The sequence below is a fragment of the Homo sapiens genome, chromosome 12 (assembly GCF_000001405.40).
Source record: "Homo sapiens chromosome 12, GRCh38.p14 Primary Assembly".
In the NCBI taxonomy this organism is placed as follows: Eukaryota; Metazoa; Chordata; class Mammalia; order Primates; family Hominidae; genus Homo; species Homo sapiens.
The window spans coordinates 48,125,612-48,143,494 of record NC_000012.12 but is presented as its reverse complement, the minus strand read 5'-3'; the positions used below and the strand labels follow the sequence as shown (position 1 = coordinate 48,143,494).

The window sequence follows — 17,883 nt, the reverse complement described above, 5'->3', positions numbered from 1 at the left end:
CTCTCCAATCTCCCTTTCCAAGCCTTTCTGGTTCCCCTTGCCTCAGAGGGCTGACTTGTGGTCACAGTGTCAGTGTTGACACTTTATATCTCTGTTTTGAGAGAGTATCTCTCTCAAAAGCAGAATGACAGCAAGGGAAATCTGAAGGGGAGACATGATGTAGTAAAAAGATCACTGACTTTCTCAACCACTTAAACCATCTGCTCACTTAGGAGTTTAGAAAAGTTTTTTAACCTCTCTAAACTTTCTATGTTATATGGAGATAGTATCTTCTTTGCATGTCTATTGTGAAGATAAAATGCAAAAATGCCCATAAAGGGCTTAGCACCAGGTCGCCTGACTCAAAATCAGCATTCCAACAACAGTAGCTGCGGTCATGCATATGAGGTGACACCAGAGAATGCCTGCATAGTGCTCTTTCTGGTCTTCACAGGATTCTACAGACCAATCAGCTCGGTCCTCAACTTGAGCTCTCATAGTTCAGATCACTGTGGAAACAGTCTGGAGACAGGGGAGAGCTATCTAGCAGGCTCTGGGTGGCCAGCTACCTGCAGGTCTCGAATGGTGAAGGGCTCCTCAAAAATGTAGGCAGCATCGGCCCCAGCTGCCAGTCCAGCCATGGTAGCCAGGTAGCCACAGTAGCCACCCATAGTCTCAATGATAAACACCCGACGCTTGGTGCCAGCTGCTGACTGCTTGATGCGGTCACAGGTCTGCAAGGACAATGGGTTATAGTTAGAAAGACATGATCAGGGGCCTGATTCTTATCACTCTTTAATCTTTGCCATTAATTAAACCCTGGAACTATATTCTCCATAGGCTAGCAGGGCCCTTAGAGCTCATCAAGTTCTTGCATTTAGGGTAACAGGCATATTTGCCAACCTCACTGCAGAACGTCTCTCCTGGGAAGAAAGCTGTACCTATCCTTTCTACTGCTCAGAAAATTAGACTGCATGATCTCAGAAAGAAAAAAAAAAACAAACAAAACATTTGGTATTCAGGGTACTGGTGCATTTCTAGGTGAGGAAACTGAACACTTTGTCACCCAGGCTGGAGTAAAGTGGCACGATCTCTGCTCACTGCAACCTCCGCCTCCCAGGTTCAAGCAATTTTCCTGCCTCAGCCTCCCAAGTAGCTGGGATTACAGGCGCCTACCACCACACCCAGCTAGTTTTTGTATTTTTAGTAGAGATGGGGTTTCACCATGTTGGCCAGGCTGCTCTTGAACTCCTGACCCCAAGTGATCTGCCTGCCTTGGCCTCCCAAAGTGCTGGGATTAGAAGTGTGAGCCACCATGCCCAGCTGAAGAATCATTTTCAAACATTCCCATTTGCTTGATATAAAGAGTAGCTCACTGTTTGGGACCACACTCAGTTTAAGGATTATAATCCTGGCCAAAAGGGATGGGAAGTGGTGATAGGCTCTCACTGTGCAGATAGTATTGAGTGCTGTGTCAGCCCCAACGCTGAAGTCTGAGCCAGGGACATTGTTGGAGACTGTAGCAGGAATGACCACAAATGGGATGCAGAGCTCATCAAACTGCTTCCTGCCCTCCATCAGTTCCAGGCCCCCTGTGTAAGCCTAAGAAGAAGAGAGCACAAGGGCAGGATTGGGGAGAGGGAGAGGAGGTAGGAGGGAGAGAGGAAGAAATGGTGGCAGGCACTCACCTCAAAGCCCCCAATGATGACAAGGCCCTGAATGTTAAACTTAGTTATATTGGCACTGATCTGTTCAAAGCTCTTCTTGGGTAGAGTCCTAGTTGATCAGTGATGGCGGGGAGGGGAAGGGGAATTGGAATTTGGGGAAGAGACAGGAAAATTGAGGGGGAGAAAAGCTAGAGTTAGAGGCACTTTATTTTTAATTTCTTGACCTGTGCCGCCCTCCCTAGCCCACCCTCTCAGTCCTATCCAAGGATACATACTGGAGCTCTAAGTTGCCAGAGCTGCTAAAGATGTTGAGATGGGCATGTCTGCCCTCATGGCAGCAACTGTGAGGTTGAGGGTGGAGGACCCAGACAACAGGGTGGTTGAAGCAGACCATGGCATAATGAACCCACATCCAAGGGCAACTTTAAGAGGTGACTGGGAGGAGGTGCCTCTGCAGTGCTACTTACCTTTTAGTCCCAAGTTTAGAGCCACCTTGGCCAGTCCAGCCCCCAACATAGCTCCAGCCAGCTTCCTCTATCTGTGGGGATAAGCCACAGAGCTCTGCACAAGGCTAAAGCACTAGGAGGCCTGTGTGGGACTGGTGCCACTGCTTGAGTTCTAACCCTACCCCTGGATCCCCCTTGGTTGGAAAAGGTACACCAGGTATTAGCTTTTCCCCACGCACTCAACTTCTTCTACCCTTACTGCTCATTCACAAATATTAAGCATCTACCTATGCCAGGCACTGTGCTGAGCTTTGGGACAGAGAATTAAATAAGACATGTTGTTTGCAATGGTTCACTGCAGTAATTCCTGCTGTTCCTACTGCCCTAGTATTAAATATCTACTTCTGCCTGGACCCTGAGAGAGGAGAGAGAGGTAGTGAGGAACAGAGGAAGCCAAGAGAATGGACAGGTCATTCTTGCTACACTTATCTTCCCCATGACTGCTCCTAGGTCCCAGAATAGTCCCCATACCTGCCCCTTGGCCAGGCCCTCGAAACCATCATGGACAACGAGCACTCGGTTGCCCTGGATAAGGCCAATCCTCACAGTGGAGCGAACAGCAGCATTCATGCCTGCAGCCGGAGCCCCCACGTTCATCACAGCCACTGTGTGCGAACCACTCTATACAGGAGGAAGCAGGGAAAAATGAGGACAGAAACCCAGCAGGGGAACAGGGAGGAGGTTAGTAAAGGAGGGCAAGGGCTCTAAGCCCTTGTCATCCAGGGATCAGGATATCTGCCTAAGACAACACAACACACACCCCTCTCCCAAGGAATGCCAGCACAGCTGGCTACCACATACATGGAAGCAAAATTCTTGATCACAGATCAATAAATAAAGCTGCTGTCCCCCATCTCAGATATCATTATTATACAATGAATGAGAGACCTTCCAGAGCAGCACTTCCCAAGTGTGTTCCTTGGATCACCTGCATCAGAATCCACTGGGGGAGCCTGTTAAACCTGCATATTCCTGGCCTCTACCCAGATATGAATCTCCTCTGAGAGAGGGGCCCAGGAGTTTGCATGTTTAATAAGCAACCCAAACAATTCTGATATATACTTAATATTGAGAACCACTACTCCAGTGGAAGAAGTGGCTTAGATACACTTAGATGTGATTATTCCCATATTTTCCCAGAGAAAAAGTACATAAGCCCTCTTTCCCATTCTTTGCATGCTATCTTGCCAGTCCTGAAGTGGGCATGGGTCTTGTGTTAGAGATATCCAGGGTACACTAAGAAGGGGGCTCTGGTATCTGGGGTGGTTAAGAGGAAATCATTATAATAGGGCCAGGGACCCAGCACTGAAGATCAGAGTGGGGCAGAGAAGTTGGCAAGGCTTATGTTGTATGGACTGTGGTAGCATTTATGAAGAGAGACTGGGGGAGGGAGAAGGAAAAGGGGAGAGGGCAAGTCAACTTGCCAGTACCTTAGATACCGGGGGTCTGACATGAGCTAGAAGCTTGTACACCTCCCAGTTGTTCATGAAGCTCCTGTAGGAAGTACAAATAGAGAGAGGTGTCTTCAGGCCATTCCCCACAGCCAGCAGCCATGGAGATCCTGGTCTGAAGTGTTGCTCCCAGAGGGAAGTTCCATAGGGCAAACCTCTGAGGACAGAACTGGGGCAGAGCAGGGACAGGGCAGGGGCTGCAAAAGGGCCACTAGTTCATCAAACACTCCCTCAGTACTCTTCTTCAGGCACTATGCTCAGCACAAGAGACTGTCCCTTGCCTAGAGGAACTTATCATCTTGCTGGGGCTCACATATAGAAATAACAGATTATAAAAGGTTGATGCCAGGGACCACACCCCTGAGATGAACTGAGCCTCCCAGTCACCTCACAACTAATTTTCTTGGGCAGGAACTTGCTGCAGAGAGAATCAGAAAAGGAAGCAGCAGAAGCTCATGTTTTGGGCCTGGAGCCATGGAGATCTTTGGCTTCGTTCACGCCTCTGATTTCTGTAGCTAGTGAGCTTCCCGTCATCTCCTCACCGGCCTCTCAGCTTCAGGGCTTCGTCAAATTTCTTCTCATCCATGGCCTTGGTCACATCTTTGGTCTGAGGGGGGAGCACAGCGACAGTTTCAACTCCAGGGTCAGGATTCTGCACAGCTGGAACTCCATCCCACAGTCGAACTCTGCCCATCTCTGGGATTGTGACTAGATCCTGTCCATTCTACACCCCACCTTTCCTATGCCCCCAAACTTTCATGGAAGTATTTTTGTTTTTCCTGAGTTGTCTAAGTAATGAGCAGCAAAAGAAAAGAACTGATTCTATGCTCTGTTTATTTTATTTTTTTTTTGAGACGGAGTCTCGCTCTGTCGCCCAGGCTGGAGTGCAGTGGCGTGATCTTGGCTCACTGCAACCCCCTGCCTCCCGGGTTCAAGCAATTCTTCTGCCTCAGCCTCCCAAGTAGCTGGGATTATAGGCGTGTGCAACCACACCCGGCTAATTTTTTTGGTATTTTTCACCATGTTAGCCAGGATGGTCTCAATCTCCTGACCTTGTGATCTGCCTGCCTCGGCCTCCCAAAGTGCTGGGATTATAGGCGTGAGCCACCGTGCCTGGCACTATGCTCTGTTTATTAGAAGTATGGGCAGAGTGGAAGAATGCTCACAGATAAATAGTATCTTCCATTCCACACCCAGGTCCCCGGCCTTAAAGCAGCCTCTAAAGTCATGAGTAAATGAAGATCCTACAGGTAACCCAGTTAGGAAGGACTGATTCCTGCTGTGTGCTTCTCAACTACTGATTTCAGCTCTGTGGGGCAGTGCCTTCACTTTGGAGCTTTTACAGATACATTTCCAAGCAAGGCTGCAGGTAACTGGGACTCCTGAGTCTCAGAGAGAAGGAGGCCGGGAGATGGGGAGTATTTAGACCAGCCCTCAGAACCAGGCCACACAGCCTAGTTCTCGCTCTCAGCCGCCACGTTCGCTCTGTGGTATCAAAGGAGTGATTCCTTCATAATAAAGGCCACCATTTCCTGAGCACTCAACATTTGCTAGGTACTGTATCACATGCTAATATAGCTTATCTCCAATCCTTACAATAACCCTCAACGTTAGCATTAGTAACCTCGTGTTGGTTCAGAGAAACATGTTCAAGATAGAAATCATAGAGACAAAAGCTACCCAGCTAGAATTTAATAATATTCTCCTGTTCTTAATAAAGTTAGGAGGAATATAGCATTATTCTTCCAATAAAGACAAGATAAAAAGGTTTGAGGTTGTATATTATGAGATACTGGGTTTCATTACTAAGGAGGATGTAGAATCTCCCACCTTCCTTAGGAACATTTTACAGATGGGAACACTGAAGCTTAGTTAAGAGCTCCTATGCAAAGCCCACTGTGTTCTTTCCCCACATGTCTCTTACTATACCATCTTGCCTTTCCACCTGCTCCTATACCAGTGGCCTTAGACATAGTCTCATGCCCCTTGAGCTCCAAGGCAGGGGCTTGAGAGTGTTAAGAAAGGGGTTTAGGATCAGTACTTACCACCTGGACACATTCCATGAGGGGCAGGCGCACAGCCTGGTTACCAGAGAGGCTCACTACACAGGCTGGGGTATCTGGGGTCCCCTCCAAAAGTGCCATCACTGCTTCCACACCCATCCTGCTGCCCTGCAGGAGCCCAGAGAACAAAGACAGTCTGGCTCAGGCTGCCCCATCTTGGCTCAGCCTAGAGAGTCAGGATACTCGAGCCCTTTTCCAAATCACAAGACTGAGTCTCACAATTAAGAACTGCAGCAAAGAACTTACTGGGCTTTACCTCCCCAAACAGATTTCATCTAAAGCTTGATGACTCTGTATTCTTGCCATCGGAACCCCAAAGATTCTACTTACTTCTAGAGAAACATGCCCACTATGGTAATCAACAGGATTACTGGGGCTTAATAATATTCCCTTCTTATTGACAAAACAAGGTAGGAGATTGCTTTGCTCTTCCAGTGAAGATAGGATAAGAGGGTTTAAACTGAGTGTCTAAGGTTGGAATTACATGCCTGTAATTCCAGCATTTTTGGAGGCCAAGGCAGGCGGATCACCTGAGGTCAGGAGTTCAAGACCAGCCTGGCTAGCATGGTGGAACCCCGTCTCTACTAAAAATACAAAAAGTTAGCCAGGCACGGTGGCATGTGCCTGTAATCCTAGCTACTCAGGAGGCTGAGGTAGAAGAATCCCTTGAACCCAGGAGATGGAGACTGCAGTGAGCCGAGATTGCACCACTGCACTCTAGCCTGGGTGATAGAGCAAGACTCCATCTCTTAAAAAAAAAAAAGAAAAAAAAAAAGGCTGGGCCCAGTAGCTTACGCCAGTAATCCCAATGTTTTGGGAGGCCGAGGCAGGCAGATCACAAGGTCAGGAGTTCAAGACCTGCCTGGCCAACATGGTGAAAGCCCCATCTCTACTAAAAATTTAAAAAATTAGCTGGGCATGGTGGCAGGCACCTGCAATCCCAGCTACTCAGGAGGCTGAGGCCGGAGAATCCCTTGAACCCAGGGGGCAGAGGTTGCAGTGAGCTGAGACCATGCCACTGCACTCCAGCCTGGGCAACAGAGAGAGACTCCATCTCAAAAAAAAAGAAAGAAAGAAAAAAGAAATACCACTATATACCTATCAGAATAGTAAAAAAAAAAAAAAAAAAAAAAAAAGTGACGACCCCCAAATGCTGGTAAGGATGCAAACAAAACAGGTGGTTCATAAATTGCTGATGGAATGGTACAGCTATTCTGGAAACAGTTGGGCAGTATCTTTGAAAAAAAATTTTTTTAAGAAACAAAAAACTACCATACAACCCAATTGAACTCCTGGGCAATTACTCTGCAGAAATGAAAATTTAAGTTCACACAAAAAGCTGTACACAAATGTTCATAGTCGCTTTATCCCTAATAGCCAAAAATTGAAAACTCAAATGTTTGAATGATTAAACAAGCTGTAATACGTCCACTCCATGGAGTACTGCTCTGCAAAAAACAGCAAACTATAGAAACAAACAACACCTTTGATAAACATCTAGAGAATTATGCTGAGTGGAAAAAAAAGCCAATCCTAAAGGGTTGCATATTATGCAATTCCATTTATATAATATACATAAGATTAAAAATTACAGACAAAGAGACAGATTAGTGGTTGCCAGAGGTTAAGAATGAGGAGGGAGGGCCAGGCGCAGTGGCTCACGCCTGTAATCCCGGCATTTTGGGAGGCCGAGGCGGGTGGATCACAAGGTCAGGAGATCAAGACCATCCTGGCTAACACGGTGAAACCCTGTCTCTACTAAAAATACAAAATATTAGCCGGGCGTGGTCCAGGCGCCTGTAGTCCCAGCTACTTGGGAGGCTGAGGCAGGAGAATGGTGTGAACCCGGGAGGCAGAGCGTGCAGTGAGCCAAGGTCGCACCATTGCACTCCAGCCTGGGAGCGAGTGCAATGGTGCGTCTCAAAAAATAATAATAATAATAATAATGAGGAGGGATGGGTGGGGGTAAAGTACACGTGGCTATAAAAGGACAACATGAGATATCCTGTGGTAACAGAAATGTTCTGTAGCTTGACTATATCAATGTCAATATCCTGGTGATGATATTGTACTATAGTTAAGCAAGATGTTACCATTGAAAGAAACTGGGCAAAGGGTATGTGGGACTACCTCTGTATTATTCTGTACAACTGCATGTGAATCTACAATTATCTCAAAATTCGTATTAAAAATATATGAAACAAAACAAAACAAAAAGATATTGTTCCTCACCATTAGGAAGGCGTAGTCTCTCACCATTTTTGTAACAGAAGAGAACCCTCAAGTGTATGGGAATGGGTCAGTGGCCACTGCAGCCCAAAGGCTGGTGGAGAGGCAATGCGACCAGTGATGTAAGTCCCTGTCTGGTGAAGTGCAGCCCTGAGGGGGCAGGACTACAAGGTTGAGGGTTTCAAGGCATGAGGGCCACACAGCCCAGTGACTTACCAGAATTCTGTCAAAGGCTGATGGCGTCCCACCCCTCTGCACATGCCCCAAGACAGTAACCCGGGTGTCATATCCCAGACGCTTAACCACCAGCTGAAGGGACCAACAGAGGGACAGAGAGAGGGTTACGCAGAGTCAAAGGAAGAAAACAAGCAGAGACTTGGGTAAACCATGGACAGCTCAGCCTCTTGTCTTGTAATGGTTCTTTGTGGGAGGCAATCAGGGGCAGGGAACCAGGGAGAGATGTGCAGAAGGACCAAGGGGAGAAGCAATGTCAGGAGACTCAGAAGCCAGAAGGGAATGGGCTATGGATTCTAAGGCCTCTCTGGCTTCATTCATACGAACATTCTTGATGTCTTCTGAGGTGATTGGTTTTCCATTCTTGTCAATTGCACCCTCAGCCACAATGATGATGTTGAGACGAGAACCACGGGTCCTTGTCTGGTTGAGAACAAAGGGTAAAATGGTCCATGGAATGAAGCTGATGGGTGGGAAAGAGATCATCAGTGGAACAGGGTGAGGGATTTCTTAAGGGCAAAATAAAGTGCAAGTACCTCGCTGAGTCGGCGACAAAGGTGTTCCTCCCAGTCGTCATCTGGTGGACATTCAGGAATAAAAACCCAGTCGGCCCCACAGGACAGAGAGGTGACAAGGGCCAGGTATCTGAGATGAGAGTCAGAAGCATCCTGCTAGAAGTTGTACTCTACAAATAGCCTCACCCATACCCAACAAGTTCTCCTAGTCCTCATAGTTGATAAAAGGTCTGGAGAGCCTCCATTTTATTCGTGGGGCAAGGGTAAGAGCACCGGGGCCCCTCAATGAGATTCTGTCTCTAACGGATACCTTCCATTTATGTTCACCTGCCACAGTGGCTTCCAGCCTCAGAGCACTACCCACTCTTTACACCAAGCACGTGCCTGAGCACGTACACACATGCATGTGTGGGGATGTAACAGAGGGGATGGAGGCCGGAAAGGGAACCACACCACAAGGAGCATGTGCACCTCCAGATCTGCTGCTACTGAGAGACCTCACTGGACTCTCTGGGGAAAAGGAAAGGGCTATCGCTAGGTCCACGGAATAAATGGGTCAGAATGAGGATCTTACCCACAGTGGCGGCCCATTACTTCTAACACAAATGTCCTCTGGTGGCTGCAAGAGATAGACATATGACACAGTCCAAGTGACCCTATGGCCAAGATCAAGCCACCACCCACATCTAGGCCAATTACCCTCTCTGGGAGATACATGTATGCTGCCAGGCCTTCTAGCAGGCTTCCTGAGACCAGGAAGACCTAGGGGAAATACTTTAGCCACAAGGTATCCTTCCTAGGCCTGAGAAAACACAGCAGTAAAAAGTGTCTAAACAGAGGCTCTGTTCCAGGGAGGAACCGGGTCAGGGAAGGGAAGGAAAGGAAAGGATAAGAAGTGAAGGGAGAATTGGACTAACTGGAATCCTTTAGGATTACCCTGGGGTAAACTGTTACCCTTCTATCCTCCCATCCTACATTGCCTCCCCCCAGGTCCCCTTATCTCTGAGCTGTCGTGGTCATAGCAGCACCTATACTTTCTATGATATGGTTGGAAAGCGTAGCTCATGTCTGGGCTCCCTAGATTTGCCCAGTCTGAAGAATAACCATTTACCCCAATGATATGAAAGACCTCAGAGCTGCATATTTGGACAGTGGGCCAGACAGTGGCAAAAGACAAATCATATATCATTAAGGGAACAGTGCAATTTCAGTGCTCTAGATAATTTTTCGTTAAAAATAGTGTTCTAGCCCCAGAAAACTGGCCATTATAGTCACCATAGCTCAAACGCTTTAGTCTTCAGGAGCTTCTAGCCCTTTAGCCTGTCCTAGCTGCCATCTTCTTACACTGCCTACCTCCCAAGTCCCCTTACCTCTGGGCAGTGGTAGTGATGGCATCTACAATTTCCATGATCCGATGCAGGGCAGAGTCAGTGCCAATGGTCATATCGGTGCCACAGAAGTCATTGTCAATTGACCCAACCAGGCCCACAATGTTCAGGTAGCTGGACTTCGTAGCCTCCTCATCTGTGATCTTACCTGACAATGAGAAGCAAACCAGGAGCCACTGGGTGAGGCACCTGGCATGCCTAAAGAGGAGATATCTAGAGAGAGAGAAACTCTAGCCAAAAGGAATTGTAGACAATACCAGAAAAAGGAGGGCAAAGACTGCCTATTTGTGTCTGGGTAACATTTTTCTCCAATGGGAGGTAAAAGCAGGGCGGGGGCGATGTGTGTGTGTACACGCGTGCACGTACCGACACAAATAAGCAATACTGATGTGAAAACTCTCTTACCTGCTTTCTGGAGGTCACTCAACAAGTCACTCCACTCAGAACGGAAGGTGTCAGCCCCAGTGAGGCTGCCATCACCCCCAATGACACAGAGATTGGTGATCCCACGCTTCACCAGGTTGTAGGCAGCTCGGAGTCGTCCTTCTCGTTCCCGAAAGTCCTTGCACCGGGCACTTCCAATCACCGTGCCTCCCTTTGGAAGAGGTAGAAGTCAGCTCCCCAGAGACAGGGCTCAACATGCTGAGATATCCCCTATTCCAATGCTGTGATGGCCTAACATAACTGTGTGACTCCCTAGAAAGTTCCTTGACATCCTTAAGAGTGATCTGTCCCTTCCAAAGGAAAGGGAAATGATGCTGGCTGAGGCATCATAGGGTCATTCCCATATTTTGCTACACATCTGAGAAGACTGCTAAGAACTCCTTTCATTGAAGGCTTTGTCATCCATGACTATCCTAAAGAGAACAAGTGAATACATACATGTATGTTGGCTTCTCAAATAATCTCCAACTTTCACATCTTAGAAGCAGTGACTTCAGTCTTTAGAAATTCTCCCTAATGGCCTGACATTACTGGATTGTGTCCAAATTATTATTAGGAGTTCATCCCAATGTGTTTTGTAGTATTTTTCCTCTCTCTGCACTGAGATTTCTAACTGTACCCAGGTACTGCCAATCCTTTCCCCTTAGCTCCTTGCAATCCATGGTGCTAGCAGCAGAAGCTGCAATATCCAGGTATTCACAGGAAAAATAGCTCTAGGTAAAGAAAGCCTTATAGATACCCCAAGAGAGGTATCTATAAGTCCCTGGGAAATTAAGGCTTTCTATCCCTGAGAGAAAGTATACTTACCTGAGAGAGGTAAGTATACTTAGGTTTTCATATCATATGTACTCCTGGGCAGCCATGACTTTGGGATACTGGTGGAGAATTCTGGCTCATTCTCAGACCACTTTATGGCAGGCACCATTACTTAGCACCTAGGTAGAGCCTTCACTAGACACTGCATATTAAATTTTTGCCCATGGATTTTTAGGGAACTGAGCTGAAAAAAGGGGGATACAAATGTAATTTACAAATTTTCAGTAAACCAGCAAATGATTGTATTTCTCTCACTCACTGTGGGCTAGCCCACAGTGGATACACATGAGAAGCCTAAAACAACATGGAGCAAGTAGCATAAAGGACTGTGGAAATCCTCAGGATACTCTTAGGATTTTTTTGAGACTCCGAAAGGCTGTCTCAGTTCCTTCGTCCTTTAAGTGGTCTGGTTTCAGGTCACCTCATCTCCATCACATGAGGACTGGCAGATTTCAGCTCCACTTCTGGCTCTGGCTCCAGTCCTCTGGTAAGGTTATTTTCAGGGCCAGACCTTCCCTGTGACCCTAGAGTAAGATCTGCTTATGTGTCAGTCCCCATAGTCTTGTTTATGACCTTTCCATAAAGAGCAAAGCATCCTGTGATCACTCCTCCACCCTCTCCCTGCCCCAGGAAACCAGGGTGGTATTTTCAAATGCTAAGAGTAAAGGGCAAATAGGGTCCCTCTCTTGTCACTGAATTCCTTCCCATGAAACCACATGACAGGGAATTTAGGAGACCATGAGCCCAAAACAGAGTGGGATGAAACAAGGACAGAGCAAATATGGGACAGGGAGTTCTCTGGAACATACCAGCTGAAGCATCATCGAAACGCTCTCCCAGGTGGCTTCCTTGATGTGATCTCCACCATCCACCAGGCCTTGATAACCCTGTGTGACACATTATACCTGTTCAGCCCGTTAGGCTTCTCTATAAATTCCCAAGATTAAGACAGGATCCCTGGGAAGAGATTCTCTGAGAGTCAAGCCACCTCCTCCCATTAGTGAGTCCTGGATGCTCGTGAGACTATCATATTTAACACAGTCCAAAGAAGGAGGCATCAACTTTTGCAATACTCTCTTCTACTTTCTCCCATTTTTGAAATACTGGGATGTGGATATCCTTCCTAATAGTTAATCTTAATTCTTATTTTTGGCTCATCCTATCTCCTCCAACCTGCTTCCTAGGGGGCCAATGATAACAGATGGTCTTGATAACCATGGAGAAAAGGAGAAGGGGAAGTTGGTGGGAGGGAAGGAAAGAAACGCGACTTGCTCTAAAAGATTATAAAATCTGATACAAGAAAGCAGGTGGACCTTATAAAAAGAAGAGTGGGTGAAGCATGAGAGGGTACTGGGAGAAGGGTGCAAAAGAAGATTTGAGAACCTCAGAAAGTTATGCAAACTACAGAAATGCAGCAAGTCTCTTTTCTCCTGGGGCTCTTCCTCTGGATATACTAAATTTGCTGTAAATACTACCCATTTCCATTTCTTTCTCTGTTTTGAGGGAGATAAAAGGAGGACTGAGAGTTACTTTTTCCTTTAAATTGAACAGGCAACATGAAGACCCAGTTTGTAGATGCTCAGGTCCCACCATCACTATTGGAGTCAAGTAGGAAAGAGTGACTCATGAAGCTACGGAGTCAAGGAAAATCAAACACAGCAATGTAACTAACTGGGAGGTAAGGACACAGAATGTGGGAAGGGGATAGAAGGCAGATTTAGAAGAAGACAGAGAAAGAATGATGAAGAACAAAGTACAGAACCAACCTCATGGACAAAGAAGACACGGGCACCGGTGAAGATACCAACTCGAACCACAGCCCTGACAGCAGCATTCATACCTGAAAGGAGGGACAAAAGAAGTCACGGAGAGGTTGCTCCTAAGAAAAGGCGCCCTGGAATCCAGAGATATTACATTTGGCTAAAGATAACGAATCAGTACTTTATTTAGTCTTTTCTCTGAATCTAGAATAATCCTCTCATCAAAGTCTTCTGGCCTCCCCACTCCCAATTACTGCAGTCAATGTTACTGGAGCTTCAGATAATCTGCATTCATTGCTCCTCAAGCCCCCCCAAAATCCTGCCTTTCCCAAGACCTTTCCTTGATAGGACCATCTGGGAAACAATAACAACAAGAATAACACATTTTCTTGAATGTGTATTGTGGGCTAGACACTGCCAAGAGCTTGTCAAACATCATCTTATTTAATGCTGTTAACAATCCTGGAATTGTCTCCATTTTAAAGATTTGGAAACTGAAACTCAAAAAGGTCAAGGGGCACAAAGCTAGTACTTTTAGAAAGTTCAGATTAGAATTCAAGTTCTCAGATGCCTAAGTTAACATTATTAGCCTCTATGGCTTGTCCTACTAATGTCAATGGCTGTACTAGGTTTTTCCTTGCTTTCTGCACTGAATCGAGACATCAGCTTTTAGTTGGCATTTCAGGACAAAGACATGACTCTATATGGTTCAGTAACCTGGCAAGTCACAGTTTATTCACAAGTTCACAGTATATCTGTTACCAGACAGCTGATTCTCTCAGTCTACACACACACACCCCCCTTTTTTGTGTCACTTGAGTTGGTCTATGTTCCAATGTGTGCCACACAGTTGTGATTTACTAGTTATCACACTGCCAGAAGAGGCTGTGACCAAGTGTGCAGGAAGAATTGGTGGGGACTCTATTCTCTCACTGCGTTCTCCTGGCATTTCCTCAATTAGTCAACAAATATTTGCTAGTCTCTTCCTGTGGCCCTGTATATAAGATGTTTATGGGGAACTCAAAAAGTATACTGTAAATCATTCTCTCTCTGCTTCTACTGGAAGAAAAACTTAGAACTAGGGCTGGACACGGTAGCTCATGCCTGTAATCTCAGTACTTTGGGAGGTCAAGCTGGGAAGACTGCTTGAGCCTAGGAGTTTGAGACCAGCCTGGGCAACATAGCAAGACTCCATCTGTAAAAAAAAAAAAAAAAAAAAAAAAAAAAAAAAAGAAAGAAAATTAAAACAAAACAGAACAAAAACTTAGGACTAAAATAGAGAGGCAATCCTTTTCCCTTTTTCACAGATGATATTATCCCTCTCCTAGTAGCTGCTCAGTGAAAAGAACTCTCTTCCAGGAGCACTGTGAAAAAGCCAACCCGTCCCAACATAAAACACACAGCAGGTGTCCCATATGTGTGTTTCATATTAGGAACAATGCACTGATCCTCTGCTAAGCATGGCCTTATTGGTGAGAGATGGGAGACATTCCTTTCCTACCATGTAATGTGACAAGGAGCACATGGTGATGCACAGGGAATCTTAAGAGCCATGAAGGGTCAACTTCTTGTAAACCATTTTAGCCAGTCTCTCTTAGACATTCTAGTACATATTTTTGTTTTAATCTAAAATCTGTTCATGTTGTCCTTAACCCTGCCTGGAGAAATGTAATATACCAACAAGCACTAAGAGAGCTAGTAATCGGAAAAATCTGCAGCACCAAACTAAAAAACCATCACAAACTTTTGAATAATCCAAGGCTATCAGGAATAGAATGGAATAAAAAAAATCAAAATGTTTCTTTTTTTTGCAGGTTGGTATTACATGGCTATTAGCTCCAAATTGAATTGAAGGTCCATTTGTTCACTGAACAAATACTAACTGAACACCTATCATGTTTCAGGCACTATGCTAGGCACTGGGGGTACAGCAATGACCACCACAGAGTCTGGGAATACCAAGATAAAGGACTTGGTAATGGTCTTCAAGACATGTGGAGAATTACAATATGGTCTATTGGTCCCTATAAAAGACATGAGCCAAGTACAATGGTGCATCCCTATAGTCCCAGCTACTTGGGAGGCTGAGACAGGAGGATCACTTGAGCCCAGGAGTTAAGTGTAGTCTGGGCAACACAGTGAGACCCCATCTCTCGAAAAAAAGAGAGAGAGAGAGAGAGAGACAAAGTACAGTCGAAACAGGGACAAAGAGTATCTAAGCCTGCCAGAAGGAAGTCAGAGAAGGTTATACAGAAAAGACAGCATTTGTCATGGGACCTAAAGGACAATTTCCTTTAAAATTTTTCTGTCAGGTGGATAATTTGAGGGAGAGTATTCTTGGCAGAGGGAATAGCACAAATAAAGGTGAGGGTCAAAAAATAACCTTAAGTAATTTAGTATTATAAAGAATAAAATATAAACTAGGAAATGGTGAGAGATGAAGCTCTACAGGTGGGCAGGCACCTATGTGCCATGAGAAGTTTGACTTGTCTTCTACAGGCCAGGGTTTAATCAGGGATCCATGGGTGATGGGTTTCAGGGAATCCAGGAACCCCACAAAACTGTATGAAAAGTTCTGCAGGCATGGACATTTCTTTCGGGAGAAGGTCCACAGCTTTCATTTGATTCTTAAAGGGGTCTGTGGCCCCTCCAAAAAGAAAAGTTGCATACAACAAAGAATCCCTGAAGAATTTAGAGAGCAGAGGGACATGATGCGATCTGTATCTCAGAAAGATAACTCTGGCAGCAGTGTGAAAGACAGCTTGAGAGAGGGATTTCTAGGGTTAGGAGGCTACCTGGCATCCTAGAAAAGAAATGTGGAAGGCCTGAACTGGAAGAGTAGCATTTGGGACAAAACAAAATACTGGACAGAAGACATCTAGGAAACAGAAGCAACAGGACTTATATCCAGTTGGCAATGTGATTACATTTCAAGGGTCAGAGAAGGAGAAAATGTCCCGTGATTGATTTAGACAAAGGGTAAAAGCGTGGTCCACTGACTCAGCAGAGGCAGGTTTTGGTTTGGGCAGGTGGCAGTGGGGGTGATACATTCATATTTGGATATGCTGTTTGAAGTTCTTGTGGAGTATCCATGTGAACACAGAAGAGACTATCTCAAGAGAATATGCAGAATTATAAGGGAAAGGGGCAAGGAATGCAACCCTGAGGAAAACCAACATTGAAGGAACAGGAAGGGGAAGGGGGGTTCCATGATAAAAACTAATAAGGGGCAGCAAGAAATACAAAAGAACCAGGATTTAGCAATGTCTTAGAAGCCAAAAGTGGACAGTTTCAAGAAGTTGGAACAGTGCCAAATGCTTCTGATAACTGATCTAAGGTAAGGCCTGAAAGTTTGGGCTTGTCAACAAGAAGCCATTGGTGAGCACTGATGTCAAAGCTTACTTATGACATCACTAAGGCAAAGCCCCATGAAGTCTAGAAGCCTAAGTTCACAACCTTAAGTTGAAGGCATCAAAACCAAAAAATCTGTGAAGAGAGGGGCTTCTCAGTAGCTTGAGGAATAGCCTATGTGTGTGAAAGGAACAAGGTCAAAAGTCAACACAAAGCCTTCAATGCTTTAGGAAAGATGAATAAAGTTAGCTCAATAAGATCAGAATAGATATGAAACTAAAGTTTGTTTTCCAGTCTTTCACAAGGCCTATGGGATTCTCTTCTGGATACCTGGAGTTCTGGAGTATGAATTTGTAATTTCAGGAAATAAGGGAAAAAATTGTTCTGAAATGTATAGGTTGGAACATTGTTTCCTGTTCCCAAGCTGAGTAAATGGTCCTGTAAAAACTCTAACTTAATGCAATCCTGTTGGTATACCCAGGGTTAAGAGAGACAAGTGACTCCGAACGTTTTCAGTACAAAAGCAAACAACAGATGGTGGGCAGGGACTATCCAAATCTGTTGGGCATACAAAAAAAATCTCACAATAAGGAAATTCTCTTCTCCCTCTGCCTTCTTCTTACCTCAACTCTACCAACTTCCAGAAGTCATTCATCCTGTCTCCAACTTGAATATCTGAGTGTTTTCCTAGAAACCAAACTTTAGGATGCTCTTCATGTACCTGGTACCTATGCCTCAAACCCCTAGTTCCCTAAAAATCACAAACTTTGGGGTATACAAATAGTTTATATTAAGGAGCCCCGGTAATTCTTTGAGCTCTCCTAGCCAACCTGACTAGCTTAGTCTGGCCCCAAGCCAGTCCTGGCCAGAGTCTCCTTGGCTGTTCCATGTTGCCCTAAATAACCCTCCATGGCAGTTGTCTGACTTATTAGAAGCAAGACGAAGGATAAGATTACAGGCACCATCCAGTAGGTATTCTGGGTGTAGTCAGGAGGGGTTCTGGAGAACATCATAAGCACGTAGTTTGGAGTCTCCAATTACGGCATATTGGGAAGAGGTTTTAGAAAGAAGAACTGTGGGTAATGGGTCTCTATGAGACTAGACAGAAAAAAAATCTAATAAATGACTTGAGCATGACTTTAAAGCTGATACTAAATAATTTATTTCTGCCTTAACTTTCATAAGATTTTTAAAAATATATGAGGAATAAACATTTGTTAGAGATGAATTGCACTTCCTAATGGATATCATAAGTAAAAATTATAAACCTTAGAATAGCAAGCCAGAGAGGTAAAAGGATCTCTGTTCGTGCGAACCTTTAAAAATAGAAAAGGCCAGGTGTGGTGGCACATGGCCTGTGGTCTCAGCTACTTGAGAGGCTGAGGCAAGAGGATTGCTTGAGCCAGGAGTTCAAGACCAGCCTGGGCAACATAAAAAGATCCCTTCCCATCTTTTTTTTTTTTTTTTTTTGAGACAGAGT

The 17,883-nt window shown here is 45.3% G+C and overlaps 1 protein-coding gene and 1 non-coding gene across 39 annotated transcripts in view, besides 2 other annotated features; both read right to left on the bottom strand.

The window, feature by feature from the left end:
- The window catches only part of PFKM (phosphofructokinase, muscle), a 41,052-nt gene that overhangs the window by 2,910 nt on the left and 20,259 nt on the right, over positions 1-17,883 (bottom strand). For 23 of the 38 annotated variants that reach the window (NM_001354741.2, NM_001354742.2, XM_047428999.1 and 20 more), the window contains 16 exons: positions 13,059-13,132; positions 12,102-12,179; positions 10,438-10,627; positions 10,015-10,180; positions 9,219-9,263; positions 8,666-8,774; positions 8,457-8,552; positions 8,112-8,204; positions 5,649-5,774; positions 4,146-4,210; positions 3,583-3,646; positions 2,624-2,773; positions 2,114-2,184; positions 1,668-1,755; positions 1,429-1,581; positions 549-713 (listed from right to left, as the gene is read on the bottom strand). In NM_001354741.2, coding sequence (NP_001341670.1) covers positions 549-713; positions 1,429-1,581; positions 1,668-1,755; positions 2,114-2,184; positions 2,624-2,773; positions 3,583-3,646; positions 4,146-4,210; positions 5,649-5,774; positions 8,112-8,204; positions 8,457-8,552; positions 8,666-8,774; positions 9,219-9,263; positions 10,015-10,180; positions 10,438-10,627; positions 12,102-12,179; positions 13,059-13,132 — 1,733 coding nt within the window. Of the gene's footprint in view, positions 1-548; positions 714-1,428; positions 1,582-1,667; positions 1,756-2,113; positions 2,185-2,623; positions 2,774-3,582; positions 3,647-3,990; positions 4,211-5,648; positions 5,775-8,111; positions 8,553-8,665; positions 8,775-9,218; positions 9,264-10,014; positions 10,181-10,437; positions 10,628-12,101; positions 12,180-13,058; positions 13,133-17,883 lie in introns of all 38 variants that reach the window. The other 15 variants (XM_011538487.2, XM_047429002.1, XM_047429004.1 and 12 more) reach the window with 8 other exon arrangements.
- Positions 83-1,064: an enhancer, noted in NCBI's record as "NANOG-H3K27ac-H3K4me1 hESC enhancer chr12:48536214-48537195 (GRCh37/hg19 assembly coordinates)". NCBI's record gives its function as "activates a minimal SCP1, AML or CMV promoter by ChIP-STARR-seq in primed H9 embryonic stem cells {active_cell/tissue: H9 hESC(primed)}" and the evidence as "EXISTENCE:reporter gene assay evidence [ECO:0000049][PMID:30033119]".
- Positions 277-451: a silencer, noted in NCBI's record as "fragment chr12:48536827-48537001 (GRCh37/hg19 assembly coordinates)". NCBI's record gives its function as "represses an EF-1alpha promoter that drives an FKBP-Casp9 reporter gene in an ReSE screen in K562 erythroleukemia cells {active_cell/tissue: K562}" and the evidence as "EXISTENCE:reporter gene assay evidence [ECO:0000049][PMID:32094911]".
- MIR6505 (microRNA 6505) lies at positions 10,628-10,698 on the bottom strand. The gene has a single exon (NR_106760.1). It is a non-coding gene; the product is annotated as a microRNA 6505 (primary transcript).